Below are 17,779 nucleotides of genomic sequence, written 5' to 3' on the forward strand. Positions count from 1 at the left end.
ATTACATTTACACATTGTGCAACCATCACTACTATTTTCAAAACTTTTTTATCACCCCAATCAGCATCTTTGTACCCTTTAAGTAATAACTCCAATTTTCTGGCCGGGCGCGGTGGCTCACGCCTGTTATCCCAGCACTTTGGGAGGCAGAGGCAGGTGGATCATGAGATCAGGAGATCGAGACCATCCTGGCTAACACGTTGAAACCCCGTCTGTACTAAAAACATACAAAAAAATTAGCTGGGCGTGGTGGCGGGCACCTGTAGTCCCAGCTACTCGGGAGGCTGAGGCAGGAGAATGGCGTGAACCCGGGAGGCGGAGCTTGCGGTGAGCCGAGATCGCACCACTGCACTCCAGCCTGTGTGACAGAGCGAGACTCCGTCTCAAAAAATAATAATAATAATAATAACTCCAATTTTCTTCCCCTAGCTCCTAGTAACTTCTAACCTATTTTCTTTTTGTTGAGAGTGAGTCTTGCTTTGTCACCCAGGCTAGCCGTAGTGCAGTGGCACGATCTCAGCTCACTGCAACCTCTGCCACCTGGGTTCATGCTATTCTCCTGCCTGTAACTGGGATTACAGGTGTGCGCCACCATGTGTGGCTGAATTTTGTATTTTTAGTAGACACAGGGTTTTACCATGTTGGCCAGGCTGGTCTCGAACTCCTGACCTCAAGTAATCCGCCAGCCTTGGCCTCCCAAACTGCTGGGATTACAAGCGTGAACCACTGCACCCAGCCTTTATTTTCTGTCTCTATAAATTTGCTGATTCTAGATACTTCACGCAAGTGGAATCACATGGTATTTGTCCTTTGATATCTAACTTATTTTACTTAGCATAATATTTTAAGGATTCATCCATGTAATAGCATGTATCAAAATGTAGCAAAACCGTTTTGTTTTTTTTTTTTTTTTGAGACTAGTGAAAGACTTGGTGTAATCCCAGCACTTTGGGAGGCCGAAGTGGGATGATTGCCTGAGCCCAGGAGTTCTAGACCAGCCTTGCCAACATGGTGAAACCCTATCTACAAAAAAAAATTAGCTGGGCGTGATAGTTACATGCCTGTAATCCCAACAACCTGGGAGGTGAGATGGTGGGAGGACCACTTGAACCAGGGAGCTCGAAGCTGCAGTGACCTGTGATAATTGCCATTACACTCCGTCTGCGCGACAGTGTGAGATCCTGTCTCCAAAAAAAAAAAAACCGTCTTAGCGTTGCTGGAGTTAATTCCATATTTCATCTTGATGTGTTGTGCTTTTAATATTCTTGTGATATATTGGCTGATTTTTCTCTATCTGGTTATTTTCATTTTCATTCTGAATTCTATATGTTTATATATTTGTATCTTCAGAAATATTTCTTGTATTTATCTAATTATCAGTTTTTTAGTTCATTAATTTTATCTGTAATTCCTCTCAGGTTACCTTAGGGTTTTTGTGTGTGTGTGTTTTGTTTTGTTTTGTTTTGTTTTTTTAGACAGAATCTCACTCCATGACCCAGACTGGAGTGCAGTGGTGCGATCTCAGCTCACTGCAAGCGCCACCTCCTGGGTTCAAGCGATTCTCCTACTTCAACCTCCCAAGTAGCTGGGATTATGTAATCCCTGTACCACCATGCCTGGCTAATTTTTCTATTTTTAGTAGAGACGGGGTTTCACCATGTTGGCCAGGCTGGTCTCGAACTCCTGACCTCAAGTGATCCACCCGCCTTGGGCTCCCAAAGTGCTGGGATTACAGATGTGAGCCACCACGCCTGGTATAGGCCAGCATACTGGTTTGTCAATTTTGACACTATTGACATTTTGAGCTAGATAATTCTTTATCGTTGGGGACTGATTTGTGCATTATAAAAAAAAAATGCAAATGGCTGATTACTGAGCATTGTTTCATTTCAGTTATTAAAGAAATGCATTCTAAGATAGTAAAGTATGTGTCTTCTCTCTTTCTCTCTTGCTTTCTCTCTCGCATTTATTAAATTGTCAAAGGTGAAAAATTTTGAGAGTTCCCCCTGTGAATACAGTTAATAGCCACTCTACACTGGTTGAAGTACAAATTGGCACAATTATTTAGCTTTTTTCTGTATGAATTACCCTTTGACTCAACAATTCCACCACGAGGAATTTACCTTATGGAAACATTTAAATGATTTATAATTTTCATATGTTTATTTCAGCATTAAACTTTCAAATATCCTTAGCAGGTGGTATAGTGGTATATCTATTTCGTGAAATACTATACAGTTAATAAATAAGAATGAGATGGATACATATACTAATACAGAAAGTCATCTAAGGTAGAGTTAAGTGAGAAAAAAAATCTTTAAAAGACAATATATGTACTACCATTTATTGTTTTATAAAATGTAACACTGCACTATACTATATGTACTTCCATACTTAGAAAAACAACCAGAGGAGTGCACACCAGGTTATTAATAGTAATTATCTCTGGAGGTAAGATTATTTCTGAAATGTTTGGATTTTGCCTTTAATTATTAGTAAGATAACTGCGGTTTACTATTTAACCATATTTATTCATATTCTGATTTTTTCACTTAACATTATGACATAAACATTTTCCAGTTTTATCCCCACACTGGAAAACTAGAGTGTAATAATGAAAACATTATTATTTCTGTGTTAATGGGTATTCTCTGTTAGGATTTTTACAAAAGTGGGTTATTTGACTACTCCTTTTAGGCATTTTTATTATATTTTCTTTCTTCCTCCCTCTTTTTCCATCTCTTTCTCTGCCTCTCTGTCTCTGTCTGTGAGGTCTCACAGTGTTCCCAGGCTGGACTCAAACTCTTGGTGCTCAAGCAAGCGATCCTCTCAACTCAGCTTCCTGAATAGCTGTGACTACAAGCGTGGGCCACTGTGCCAGGCTTGATTTTCCAAATTGCATTTTCAAAAAATCTCCTCCCATATTTGGGATAGAAGACATCCAGGTGGTTCATACTCATTTACCAGGGCTGTCTTAAGACTTTTTAATGCAATAAAACATATTTTTAACTACACACTTAGTTCTTTCATTTACTCCTGAACTAATGTTAATTTCTACTTGGAAAATGAAAAGGTTATTTACTTTTTTTTTCCTGAAATGCTGACAATATGTGATATCTTAATATCTGTAATTCTTAGTGAAAGTTATGGTATAGTATAGGTGAAGCTGTAGTGTTTATATCAATAGATGTGAATTCAAATGAGCAATCTAATAATTATTTACTATTCAATTATGTTAATTTTCTTCTCTTTGTCTCCCATTGTTTCTGCAGAGGCAGTTGGTGTCACCAGCCAGCGACCAGTGTTTTGTCCTTTTCATAAAAAGGAGCAGCTGAAGCTGTACTGTGAGACATGTGACAAACTGACATGTCGAGACTGTCAGTTGTTAGAACATAAAGAGCATAGGTACCAGCATCTTTGGTTATATATATAGATTCATATGCAGCTTTAGAGGACTAAAGGACTGCTGCCAACCCTCATCAAATGGCAGTCTGCAAATAGGTTTTGTTTGGCCAGCACTATGCTGGCCTGTACTGGGGTTTGTCACTTTTGACACTATTGATGTTTTGGGCTAGGTAATTCTTTATTGTTGAGGACTGATCTGTGCATTATATGGTGGTCAGCATCCTTGACCTCTACCAACTAGTTACCAGTAGCAACCCTCTAACCCTCCCCAGTTGTGACAACAAAATGTGGCTCCAGACATTGGCAACGTCCTATGGAGCAAAATCATCCTGAGTTGAGAACACTGGCCAACACACTGTTTTAAAATATATAGAACTAGTTGCCAGCATTGTAAAATGGGGAGATTTTACATTTTTTAAATATCTAGATTTCTGGCTTTTTTGAGAAAACGGAAGCTGTTCTAGCCCTGGGTCTGTATACTTCATGTCAACATTTGAGGCATGCCTTTTCCAGTTCATTATAGTTCCTAGCAAAGCTCACTTTTAAATCTGATCTCAACAGTCATTCAAAGGTCAGCAACAGATGATTTAGACAGTAAGATTCGGATTGATACAAATATAATTGCTTATGATGGTCTAGGCTCCCGATAATGGCAGACTAGATAATTTGGATCAACAGTGAGAATGACTAGAAAACCTGCACAAAATACAGAAATTGTCTATATGAAATGCTAGAGCAAATAGTAAAGCATTATTGGACAGGATTGGGTTGGAGTTGGGGCTAAGAATGGTGGGGGCCTTTTTCTCCCCTTGAGGTATTTGCCCAGAGATTGAGGAGTAATTTTGATAGGCTCACAGGGCTGAGAAATCACAGCTTAGAGTGCAAGGATCATGCATGGTGAATGTGTCTCCTTGTCTTGAGTTGGGACCCTGAAAGTCTGCACTATTATAGTAAAGATAAATTAGCTAGTAAGTTGTTCCTCACAGGGACTAAAGCTCAGCAACTAAAATTGGATTAAAGTGAAATCATATCGCTGGCTCCTCAAGTTTCCTTGTAGAATCAAATGTAAATCCTTGCTAGAAAGAAAAAGAAAACATCTAGGCCTCCAACTTATTCAATAATGAATTTTGCAAAAACAGTATTCACAGAATTAGAAATAACCAGGTTTGTTAGGAGATTAGACAATGCGAACATAGTGAGACCCCATCCCCACAAAAAATTAGCTGGGCAAAGTGGTGTGTGCTTGTATTCCTAGCTACTTGGGAGACTGAGGTGGGAGGATTGCTTGAGCCCAGGAGTTCAAGGGTGCAGTGATAGTGCCACTGCACTCCAGCCTAAGTGACAGAATGAGACCCTGTCTTTAAAAAAGAAAGAAAGAAAACCCTAAAAATTACAGTAACTGAAATTAACTCAGTAGAAGGGCTTAAGAACAGATTTGGCCTAGCATGAAACGAGAATTAATGAGCTAGAAGAAAATTAAGAAAATATCCAGAAAGAAGCATCATCAGCAAGAGGAGGATGAAAAGTAGAAGAGATTAAACATCTAATGTGGATGTAATTGCAGTCCAAGAAGGATGGAAAGTACAGAGAATGGGAAGGAAGCAATACTCGAAGACAGAATGTAATGGCTGAGAACTTTCAGAAGCTGACGAAAGGCATTCAGCCCATATTTAAGAAGTTGCACAAACCTCTAGCAGGATAATTAAGAAAGTAATATTTTTAAAGTGCAAAAAGAAAGTAACTTTCAAATCTAAAATTCTGTACCTGGTAAGCATATTCTTTAAATATGAAGGTGGTTGAAAAACGTTTCAGGCAAAATAAACTGGGAGAGCATATCCCTGCTAAACTCTCATTTAAAGTACCTCTTAGTAGAAGAAAAATAATAGGAGATACAGAAAGGAAAATGGAGCAATAGGTATGAGTAAATCTAAATGAATGTTGACTTAGGAAACAATAATATCTTGTTGATGTGGTGTGCGTATATGTATATCACATAGCAGCAAATGTACTAAAAGGGTATGGAATTTATGTTCTAAGGTCCATGCATAGTCTAGGAAGAGGGTGAAAAGTACCAATATTAGATGATATGTAAAAATCTGTTCTTGTAATGTCTAGAGTAGTCACTAAAAGAATAATAAGTACATATAATTACCAAGGTGTGGAGAGTTGTGGGGATGTGGAATAGTTAATCAGTATAAACAAAGGCCAAAAAAATGAGAAAAAGAAATAAAGAACAGATGGAATATAATGAGACCTTGGTAAGTTGGTAGATCTACAAATATACTATAATTATACTAAGTGTGAACAGACAAAATGTTCCAAATTACAAGACAGGTTTCGGACTGGATAAGAAGGAAAATAGAAAAATGTGCTATTTTCTTTTTATGAGAAATATCTAAAAACTCAATGTATAAAATACTTAATGGGAAAAGACACACCATATAAATATTAACCAAAGGCAAGATGGTATAGTAGACAAAATCCATTATTTGAGGTAAAGAGGGACACTTTGTAAGGATGAAAGTCTCTCTTCATCTGAAAGATATGAGTTGTAAATTTATACAGGTTATAAACTTACAAAAAAATGACAGAATTTCAAACTAATAGAAAACTCCATAGTCACAGTGGAAAATCTTACCACTTTATGCAATAATTGAAGCCGAGCAGTGTGGCAGGTGCCTGTAAGTGCTAGCTACCTAGCTACTCGGGAAACTGAGAAATCACAGGTGGGAGGATGGCTGAAGCCCAGGAGTTTGAGTTCAGCCTGGGCAGCATAGCAAGACCTATCTCTAAAAAATAAGTAAGTAAGTAAATAAATAAATAACAAAACAAGCAGACTAAAAAATCAGTAAAGATAGAGAAATAAGGGCCAGGTGCAGTGGCTCACACCTGTAATCCCAGCTACTCGGGAGGCTTAGGCAGGAGAATCACTCGAACCCAGGAGGTGGAGGTTGCAGTGAGCTGAGATGGCACCATTGCACCCTGGCCGAGGCGACAACAGCAAAACTCCATCTCAAAAAAAAAAAAGATAAATAAGATTGAATACCACAATTAACATAACGTCTTATGGACATTGTGGAACACTGTACCCCAAAATATACATTCTTACAATAAAATATTTTTAACTGACCATATGCTAAAGTCTTAAATTTGAAAATATTGAAAAATACCATATATTTGGAAATGAAATTCTTGTGATAACTAAAGTCTACTGATACACAATCCTGGAATTCTAGATTAAAGGAAAAAATTATTTAGAAGACATTATTGAGACAAATGATATAATTAAGAAACATGGTCTATAGTTTAAAGTACTGTAAACAAAGTCATTTTTTTTTTAACTGTACTATGGGCACATAAGAAAATCCTTTTTTTTAGGAAATGCACACTGAATTATTAAGGGGTTGAAGGGCTATGAGGAGGCAAACTAAAAATTGATTAATCTGTATAAGGAGATATATGATCTCTATATACTTGCAAATTTAACTTTGAAATTGTTTTAAAATAAACAGTTTAATACATTCAAATCATCAAGAAGAAATTCCAGTAGATGGTAGAAAACATTTTCATCTGAATGATAGTGAAAAACATCAGTCAATCAAGCCTTGAGGTTTTTCTTTTTAATAACTGAAGCCATATTTGGAGGACAATTTATATTATTAAATGCATATGTTATATGTTGAGGATAAAGTCAATTCACTAAACATTTATTGCAGTTTAGGGAAAGTAGGTAATTAAACCCAAAGTAAGTGGGTTTTAAAAGAAACATAATAAAGACAAGTGTAGAAATAGTCAAAGCCAAAAATTCAGTCTTTCAAAAGACTAGTAAATAATCAACAATTCTCTGTATGAGTGATTGAGAGAGCAGGCCCAAATAACCACTACCAGGAGTAGGAAGGTGGCATTACTCCATATTTCAAATGCATTTTCAAAGATAAAAAGGATATCTGTCAATAATAATGAAAATTTTTACATGATATTGGAAAACTTAGAGAATGAAGCTTTTTAACAAAACTTTTGCTAAATACAATAGAAAGTCAGAATAGTCTTTTAATGTTCATTCATAATTTAAAACCTTCCCACAAAGAAAATTACACATGCAAATGACACAGATGAATGTACCATATAGTTAAGGCAAAAATAGCCCCTTTTGGCCGGGCGAGGTGGCTCACGCCTGTAATCCCAGCACCTGGGGAGGCCGAGGCGGGCGGATCACAAGGTCAGGAGATTGAGACCATCCTGGCTAACATGGTGAAACCCCGTCTCTACTAAACATACAAAAAATTAGCCAGGCGTGGTGGTGGGTATAGTCCCAGCTACTCGGGAGGCTGAGGCAGGAGAATGGCGTGAACCCAGGAGGCAGAGCTTCCAGTGAGCCGAGATGGGGCCACTGCACTCCAGCCTGGGCGACAGAGCGAGACTCCGTCTCAAAAAAAAAAAAAAAAAAAAAGCCCCTTTCTTATACAAACTTGTCTGGAGAATGGCAAAAAAATGAATTCTTTCCAACTTGTTATATGAAGCCAGCATAACCTTTACACCAAAACTGACAAGGAATAGAAATGGAAAATTACAGGCCAGTCTCACTCATGAAATGAATGTAAAAATTCCAAGAAACGGAAAATAAGTAGGAAACAGATGATTTGAGAGGAGGGGAAAACTTGCCTTAAATCTCGTAGTATTGTCATTTTGGGACAGTGTAATCACAACCAATTTGGCCTCATCTTAGGGATACAGAATTCATTTAACATGCCAAAATCATTGATGCTAAAATCTTGCATGTCATATTAAAAGAATAAAGGAAAAAGTATATGCCTATCTCAATAGAAGCAGTAGAAACATTCCATAAAAATTAAATATACATTCATGATACAACATCTTAGCAAACTAGAAATAAAAAAGAACTTCCTAAACCTGATAAAGATTATTTATGGAAAGCAGAAAACGTACTTAATATTGGAATATTGAAAGTCTTTGCATTGAGATTAGGAACAACATAAGGGTGACCATTTTGACCATTTCATGTAACCTTATATTAAATAAGGGTAGTAAAGAAAAAGTTTACTAAGGTAAAAAAAACTTGAGTTGCCTATAAAAGTATTTGAAATGTTATAATTCACAGATATGATTATATACTAAGGAAATCCAATGTAATTATTAACTGGGTATCCCCTTTTTCTAACTGGCAACCCTATTTAGTTACATGTAAACATTTAAAATCACATTATATAAAATTGTTAATTTAGAAATACTGTATTTTGTACATTTTATAGAAAAACTTAAATAAAATTCTTGTTATGTATCTTCTATATCGTTGCCTTTCTATCTTCTCTAGAACTTCTCTTGAGTTATCAAACATAGTCTGGCAAAGTAAATCATCTTTCCTCAGTTTCAAATTGGAAACTTTTTAAAGTGCTGTATCTCATTATACTGTTGCTTAAAAGTTTTATTACAAGGCATAACATCAAGAATTTTGCCCTTCTCTGTCTGTATTTATCCTGATTTATCTTGTGGCCCCTAGAACATAACTACCTATTATTTAAAAGTGGTCTTTTAAAATGTTTATTTTCAGCAGGCTTGCATAATGTAGAAATTACAAAATAGTTAATAAATCTGATTATGTATAATTGACTATTTTTTGCCAAGTCCACCAAGTGAAAGTGAACTCTGTAAGCTTATAAAAACTGAATGATGGATGCATGTGGTTCTCAAACTTTCAAAATATTTATGTGTCCATAATCTTTCTTGAGGGATAATTTGAGAGGTGAGGGAAACTTGCCTTATTAGGGATACGTTTGATGTTTTAAAAGATTATTATATAAATTCTTTATAATCCTATTTTATGTTTTTATGTCTTTTTTTATTCTTGGACTTTTTCCTCATTGTATATTTTTATATGAAATAATTTGCTTATTTCTTCAGATACCAATTTATAGAAGAAGCTTTTCAGAATCAGAAAGTGATCATAGATACACTAATCACCAAACTGATGGAAAAAACAAAATACATAAAATTCACAGGAAATCAGATCCAAAACAGGTAATTTTATGGTATTATGTAATCATTTTTATATAATTTGTTAAGTATATTCACTTTTAGAACATTTTCCTTAAGTCACAGTTAAGTAATACGTTGTTAGATGACTGCAATAACACATGACTGATAAGACTTTCCCAGAAACTTAGTTGGAAAGCATTCTTTTCTGCTGTAAAATTTCAAAACTAATAATAAACTACACTTAGTATTTTAATAGCTCATTTATCTAATAGGTATTGATAACTTATTATCACTTATTTTCCAATTTTAAAGAAATACCAAAATTTAAATGCCAAATCAACCATTTTTTTGCCAGTATTGTAAAATATTTTAACACTTGAATAAACCCTTAATTGTTATTTTAAGGTTTGCTGAAATTTGAGATGCCTGCCTTATGCTGCAATTTTTTTAAAACTGCAAACAGGTGGAAATTTTAAGACACTAGGATACAGGGATTGTTAAACTGTTCCGCACACTTTTTACTTCTTGTCTGATAAAATGCTTACTTACACAATTACTTGTTATGCCTTTTGCCCTGGTAAGAAAATCATCAACTGTCCAAAGTCTTAGACATCAGTGATTAGGGAGAACCACTAACCTCCATGGAGCGGGGGCAGCTGGAGGTGTTGTCTAACCCCTTTTTAAAATCCCATTTAGGGCACATACTGACATTTAATTTACACACCTATGAAATCCCATGACCTCTTCTGTTGTTTTACACACAAAAGAAATGTCACTGCCTAAATAAGTCAAGAAATGTTTATTAGAATGAGCCAGCGTAAAAGAGACCTCACAGAGAATTTAAATGTTTTTCTATGTATAAATTGTGTCAGACTTTAAGGCAGTCATCACAATCTATTATTATCATTTTGGAACATAGCTGGGGGTGGAGCATTTGGGAATTTTTTTAAGGTAATTAAATCCCTGTATTACCTGATTCCCTTAAAAGAGATTTTTACACATAGTTTTACCATTTCTTGATGCCCCAGCATCATTCTTATATCTGTTTATTATTATGCATTATGTTGTGTATCTTTTAGTTTTTCTTGTTATCAGCTCTCATTTGTTTTTACCTCTGTTTTTGTTTTTTGTTTTTTGTTTTTTTTTGAGACGGAGTCTCACTCTGTCACTTAAGCTGGAGTGCAGTGGTGTGATCTCAGCTCACTGCAACCTCTGCCTCCTGGGTAGCTGGGATTACAGGTGCCCACCACTGTGCCCAGCTAGTTTTTGTATCTTTAGTAGAGATGGGCTTTCACCATGTTGGCCAGCCTGGTCTTGAACTAGTGACCTCAGGTGATCTGCCACCTCAGCCTCCCAAAGCACTGGGATTACAGGCGTGAGCCACCATACCTGGCCCTGTTTTTACTTTTCTCTTTGACACAACTATAGTTAATGAAATACTATTTTCTTTATTTACCATATTCTAATCAGAATAGTATATTTTGCCAAGTAGAATAATTGGTGGGTTTAAACTTTTTTTATTCTGAGTAATTGAAAATTTGTAATGAATATTTATTGAATGAATGAAGAGAGATAATTATAGGCATTTCTACCATCTAGTGGCAAAAGGTAGCAATCATAAAATAATTAATTTTAAATTAAACATCTGCCCTTAATGAAATTTATCCCTTTGACTTTTTTCTTACTGTTTCACTGAGTATATGGTTTGATTTATGGTCAAAGTTTACATTTTTTTTTATGTACCGCTGTCAATTTTTTCCACTATCATTTGTTGAAAAAACTTTCTGTTGAATTGTTTTTCAGCACCTTTATAGACCATATATATGTGTGGGATTATTCTGTTCCATTGTGTTTTTCTCATTGCTAGTACTTCACTTTCATGATCATGATCATTGTAGTTTTTTATAGTAAGTCTTAACATAGTGTTTTTCAAATTTCTTCTTTTATTTTTATAAATGATTTGTGCTTTTTTTCTTCTACAAAATAATAACATTGTGTGTAACAATTTTGATTTCTGAATTGAGGCAAAAAATTAAACAATCTTTGTTAAGTGCAAATTGCTTACATATCTTTATAGCCTATGTGATTATAAAAGGGTACATTTATTAGAGTAACTGGTAGTCATTTTTATGCATTTGACCCCATGGCACTGTTTTTCCCTTACTCATCCTATTCTACCATCATGAATATTTAAATGACTTTTTTGAGATTGGTTGCTTCTCAGGCTTATCTGGTTCCCTTGATCCTGTAGTAATGTTGATGTCAAACAATTATCTGGAAGAATTTCCAGCAGGAAATAAAGTCTCTGCCAGTTTGGTCTTGAGTTTTGGAGGGTAACTATGGGAGAAGCTTACAGAAGAAATGAAGCTTTTAATTTAATCTCACAAAGTTTGGTGGATGCTCTGTTATTTTCTATAAGATATTCTGGTGTGGTACCGTATGTTTTTCTTTCTGTAAGAGTGTTGCTGGAATCAGGAGACTGGAGAGACCAGTAGGTGAAACAGGAGGATTTTATTGAGTGCACTCATACCCAGCGGATTAATATCCAAAGACCAGGCCTAGAACAAAGACTGGGCCTAGAACAAAGGCTGGGCCTAGAACAAAGACTGGACTTGGCTTTTATACACACTTCTAAAAGGGGATGGGCTAGTTTGAAACAAGCTTACAGTGGCGTGAAGCATAGTGGTGTGAAAGCTCAGGTACAGAAGCAGAACAAAGGCAGTTAATCATACTTTGACAGGTTCATAACTCAGGCTTACAATGACTCTTGCTATGCGGCCTAGATGGCTGTTATCTAGGCTTGCTCTAGTGCCTTGTGCTGGCTTATCTCATAACCTTCACTATGGTGTCTAGATGGCTACAATCCAGGCCCGCCCAGGCATGTCTCATGACTTTCACTGAGCTGCTTAGATAAAACAATGCTTGAAGTTACTAGTTATAGAAAACAAGAATCTATAAACTCATAAGTTTACTCATACCATAGGAGAAAGAAAAATAAAGAAAATTTGTTTTTTTCTTCTCCCCATGTTGGGGGAGTGCTGGGAGAGTCTTCAGAGCACATTCCTTTGAGCCCTAGCTTCTTAGATAATATTATCAAGACTTTCCTGGGTCTGGGCTGTGCCTGTTTCTGCCTCTGGGATAAGTCAGCCTAATACATGAAAGCTTGTTTTTCAAACTTGCTTTTCTCTTTTTAATTTTATTTTTCTTTTTTTTTCTTTAATTTCCCACCTCAAGAGAAGTATGTGGTTGATAAAACATAGTTATTTGGCTGCTAATTTTGCAAAGAATGGGTTAAGTAGCAAACTACTATTTTTGTCTTTTTCTATTTAGGTGTATGAATACTGTAGCAGTTAAGAATACTAAGAAAAGAGTGTCACATATACACTTTTCTAGCTTTCGGTTGCAATTAATATAGTAGAACATGTTCAGAATCATCATGGTTTATAAATCCTTTTTGGTCCACCCCCACCCCCCCCCCCATCCTTTTAGGTAGAGCATTGATTTTCCTGGGTGTTCTCATAATTTTTCCAAACCATATTTTCTTAAAATGTACTCATTCTCTTCTAATTTTATATATATTTTTAAGATTCAAGACTTAATTTTAAGATTGAGTGGTGATATCTTTCAGAAGAATTATATTTCTGCTGTCTCATCTTCAAGACAGTCAATTTAAAGTGAAGGACTCAGAAATAGAGCTTCTAAGGGCTGAAAACATTTTGGTCTAATTTAGACATTAAAACGTCAATTTTAAATATTATACAAAAAAACTGCCTTATGTTTTTCCCCGTTTTAATTTTCAGAATTATTGAAGTAAATCAAAATCAAAAGCAGGTGGAACAGGATATTAAAGTTGCTATATTTACACTGATGGTAGAAATAAATAAAAAAGGAAAAGCTCTACTGCATCAGTTAGAGGTAAGTGACTGCCCATGGGATAGTATATTGATTCAACATAGTATTTCCTAAAGTACTGTGAAGTAGAAATCATAGTGCTTTTTATATAGTTGTTTCATTGTGATTTAATATTTTTTTTTCCCACTCCCAAGTTTTCCTTTGCTGGGTTTTGTATTGTAGCTGACAATTTAAAGCTTTATAATACGCTATGAATGTCTGATGACTGATTGTTTTCTTTATAGCACAAATTATAATGCCTTGCTTGTAGGAGGATCTCTGAATGTTAAACAGATGAGTTATTTTCGAGATGCACTGAAATGAAAATTTTGCATCACCAAGGTGGTTTAGTGGAGCAGAATTTTCTAGAAAGATACACTGTTCGATTTAGTTCTCAAATATATATATTTAACCCTGTGAGAAGTTAGGTAAAAGAATATGGCTAGCCCTGCCCTCAACATTTTGTAATTGTAATTGCGAGAGCAGCACTTAGGGAGATATGCCCAAGGCACTTAGTTGTTTCTCACTGCAGGTAAGAAAAACATTACCATCTTCCTCAGCTTTTTAAAACTCATGAAGGTCAAGATCCAAACTTGGTGTTTGACTTCAAATCATATAAGGTTATAACAGCTACATGGTACATTAATGTATAATATTAATTGCATGATTTTTAGGTATTCTTTTAGTACGTTGACATAGAAAGCATATTGATACAGTAAAGAAGCAAATGAGAAAAAAAAGAATCCTAATGTTTGAAGATTTGAGGAAAAATAAGACTTCTAGAAATAATTTAGGTCATCCTTTTTATATCATAATTTACCAAATTAAAAGGTTTCTGTCAGAAAGTTCTATCCCTTCTGGGAAAGCATGGTCATTCCTGTGTATTATCAGCTGTACAGGAAACAAAGACTAAAATAATTCTCTGTTCTTTTGGAAACGTAGTTATTTAGTGAGGAAGTATTCTGGGCAGGAACAATCAGACCCCATTTATAGTAACTATTTGTTCAAGGTCTGTGACTTTAAAAAAAAAAAAAAATTTAAGTACAATTTTAAGTTTCCAAAACTGCTTAAAATCAAATATCACTTTGATTTGCTTTCCCAGATATTAGTAGTGCATACATTACTATGTCTGTGTTTTCAAACTTGACTGTACATCAGAATCACTTGAAGAGCTTTACAAAGGAGATGACCAGACTTGCAAATCTGTAGGAATGAACCTGGTCAGTATATCTACTGATGACCAGGTTCATTCTTAAAATTAAAAAAAAATTTTTTTTGAGACAGGGTCTCACTCTGTTGCCCAGACAGAAGTGCAATAGCGTGAATCACGGCTCACTACAGCCTCCACCTCCTGGTCTCAGGTGATCTTCTCATTGCAGCCTCTCGAGTAATTAGGACTACAAGTGTATGCCACCATGCCTGGCTAATATTTTTTTTTTTTTAAGAGGGGGGGTTTTGACACGTTGGCTCAGGCTGGTCTCGAACTACTGGGCTCAGGCAGTCTGTCTGCCTCAGCCTCCCAAAGTACTGAGATTACAGGTATGAGCTACCCACCTTGCCCCCCCTTTGTTTTTTTTGGAGACAGTGTTTTACTTTGTTGTCCAAGCTTGAATGCAGTGGTGTTTTCACTGCAGCCTTGACCTCCCAGGCTCAAGCAATCTTCCCACCCCAGTCTCCTGAGTAGCTGTGCAACCACACCTGACTAATTTTTTATTTTTGTAGAGATGAAGTCTCACTCTAGTGAATTTTCTTATTTTACTTTTTAGAGACAAGGTCTCACTCTGTCACCCAGGCTCGAGTGTAGTGGTATAGCCTTGGCTCACTGCAGCCTCAAACTCCTGGGAAACTGGGACTACAAGCGATCCTCCTGACTGAGAAGCTGGGACTACAGGGCGTGTGCTGCCACTCCTGGCTAATTTATTATTATTATTATTATACTTTAAGTTCTAGGGTACATGTGCACAACGTGCACATATGTATATGTATACATGTATACATGTATACGTGTATGTTACATACGTATACATGTTACACGTTACATGTTACATATGTTACATATGTTTACATGTGTTACATATGTATACATGTGCCATGTTCGTGTGCTGCACCCATTAACTCGTTATTTACATTAGGTATATCTCCCAATGCTATCCCTCCCCCCTCCCCCAACCCCACAACAGGCCCCGGTGTGTGATGCTCCCCTTCCTGTGTCCAAGTGTTCTCATTGTTCAATTCCCACCTATGAATGAGAACATGCGGTGTTTGGTTTTTTGTCCCTGCGATAGTTTGCTGAGAATGATGGTTTCCAGTTTCATCCATGTCTCTACAAAGGACATGAACTCATCATTTTTTATGGCTGCATAGTATTCCATGGTGTATATGTGCCACATTTTCTTAATCCAGTCTATCATTGTTGGACATTTGGGTTGGTTCCAAGTTTGTGCTATTGTGAATAGTGCCGTAATAAACATACGTGTGCATGTGTCTTTATAGCAGCATGATTTATAATCCTTTGGGTATATACCCAGTAATGGAATGGCTGGGTCAAATGGTATTTCTAGTTCTAGATCCTTGAGGAATCGCCACGCTGTCTTCCACAGTGGTTGAACTAGTTTACAGTCTCACCAACAGTGTAAAAGTGTTCCTATTTCTCCACATCTTCTCCAGCACCTGTTGTTTCCTGACTTTTTAATGATGGCCATTCTAACTGGTGTGAGCTGGTATCTCATTGTGGTTTTGATTTGCATTTCTCTGATGGCCAGTGATGATGAGCAATTTTTCATGTGTCTGTTGGCTGCATAAATGTCTTTAGAGAAGTGTCTGTTCATATCCTTTGCCCACTTTTTGATGGGGTTGTTTGTTTTTTTCTTGTAAATTTGTTTGAGTTCATTGTAGATTCTGGATATTAGCCCTTTGTCAGATGAGTAGATTGCAAAACTTTTTTCCCATTCTGTAGGTTGCCTGTTCACTCTGATGGTAGTTTCTTTTGCTGTGTAGAAGCTCTTTAGTTTAATTAGATCCCATTTGTCAATTTTGGCTTTTGTTGCCATTGCTTTTGGTGTTTTAGACATGAAGTCCTTGCCCATGCCTATTTCCTGAATGGTATTGCCTAGGTTTTCTTCTAGGGTTTTTATGGTTTTAGGTCTAACATTTAAGTCTTTAATCCATCTTGAATTAATTTTTGTATCAGGTGTAAGGAAGGGATCCAGTTTCAGCTTTCTACATATGGCTAGCCAGTTTTCCCAGCACCATTTATTGAATAGGGAATCCTTTCCCCATTGCTTGTTTTTGTCAGGTTTGTCAAAGATCAGATGGTTGTAGATGTGTGCTATTTCTGAGGGCTCTGTTCTGTTCCAAAGGTCTATATCTCTGTTTTGGTACCAGTACCATGCTGTTTTGGTTACTGTAGCCTTGTAGTAAAGTTTGAAGTCAGGTAGTGTGATGTCTCCAGCTTTGTTCTTTTGACTTAGGATTGTCTTGGCAATGCGGGCTCTTTTTTGGTTCCATATGAACTTGAAAATAGTTTTCTCCAATTCTGTGAAGAAAGTCATTGGTAGCTCAACGGGGATGGCATTGAATCTATAAATTACCTTGGGCAGTATGGCCATTTTCACAATATTGATTCTTCCTATCCATGAGCATGGAATGTTCTTCCATTTGTTTGTGTCCTCTTTTATTTTGTTGAGCAGTGGTTTGTAGTTCTCCATGAAGGGGTCCTTCACATCCCTTGTAAGTGGGATTCCTAGGTATTTTATTCTCTTCGAAGCAATTGTGAATGGGAGTTCACTCATGATTTGGCTCTCTGTTTGTCTGTTATTGGTGTATAAGAATGCTTGTGATTTTTGCACATTGATTTTGTATCCTGAGACTTTGCTGAAGTTGCTTATCAGCTTAAGGAGATTTTGGACTGAGACAATGGGGTTTTCTAAATATACAATCATGTCATCTGCAAACAGGGACAATTTGACTTCCTCTTTTCCTAATTGAATACACTTTATTTCTTTCTCTTGCCTGATTGCCCTGGCCAGAACTTCCAGCACTATGTTGAATAGTAGGAGTGGTGAGAGAGGGCATCCCTGTCTTGTGCCAGTTTTCAAAGGGAATGCTTCCAGTTTTTGCCCATTCAGTATGATATTGACTGTGGGTTTGTCATAAATAGCTCTTATTATTTTGAGATACGTCCCATCAATACCTAATTTATTGAGTTTTTAGCATGAAGGGCTGTTGAATTTTGTCAAAGGCCTTTCCTGCATCTATTGAGATAATCATGTAGTTTTTGTCTTTGGTTCTGTTTATATGCTGGATTACATTTATTGATTTGCATGTGTTGAACCAGCCTTGCATCCCAGGGATGAAGCCCACTTGATCATGGTGAATAAGCTTTTTGATGTGCTGCTGGATTCGATTTGCCAGTATTTTATTGAGGATTCTTACATCAATGTTCATCAGGGATATTGGTCTAAAATTCTCTTTTTTTGTTGTGTCTCTG

At 36.3% G+C, this 17,779-nt stretch overlaps 1 protein-coding gene across 3 annotated transcripts in view; it reads left to right on the plus strand.

Moving 5' to 3' along the window:
- The window catches only part of TRIM24 (tripartite motif containing 24), a 129,738-nt gene that overhangs the window by 55,658 nt on the left and 56,301 nt on the right, over positions 1 to 17,779 (plus strand). For all 3 annotated transcript variants that reach the window (NM_015905.3, NM_003852.4, XM_024446981.2), the window contains exons 4-6: positions 3,273 to 3,405; positions 9,325 to 9,441; positions 13,200 to 13,314. In NM_015905.3, coding sequence (NP_056989.2) covers positions 3,273 to 3,405; positions 9,325 to 9,441; positions 13,200 to 13,314 — 365 coding nt within the window. The remainder of the gene's footprint in view (positions 1 to 3,272; positions 3,406 to 9,324; positions 9,442 to 13,199; positions 13,315 to 17,779) is intronic.

This window comes from Homo sapiens, chromosome 7 (assembly GCF_000001405.40).
Source record: "Homo sapiens chromosome 7, GRCh38.p14 Primary Assembly".
Lineage (NCBI taxonomy): Eukaryota > Metazoa > Chordata > Mammalia > Primates > Hominidae > Homo > Homo sapiens.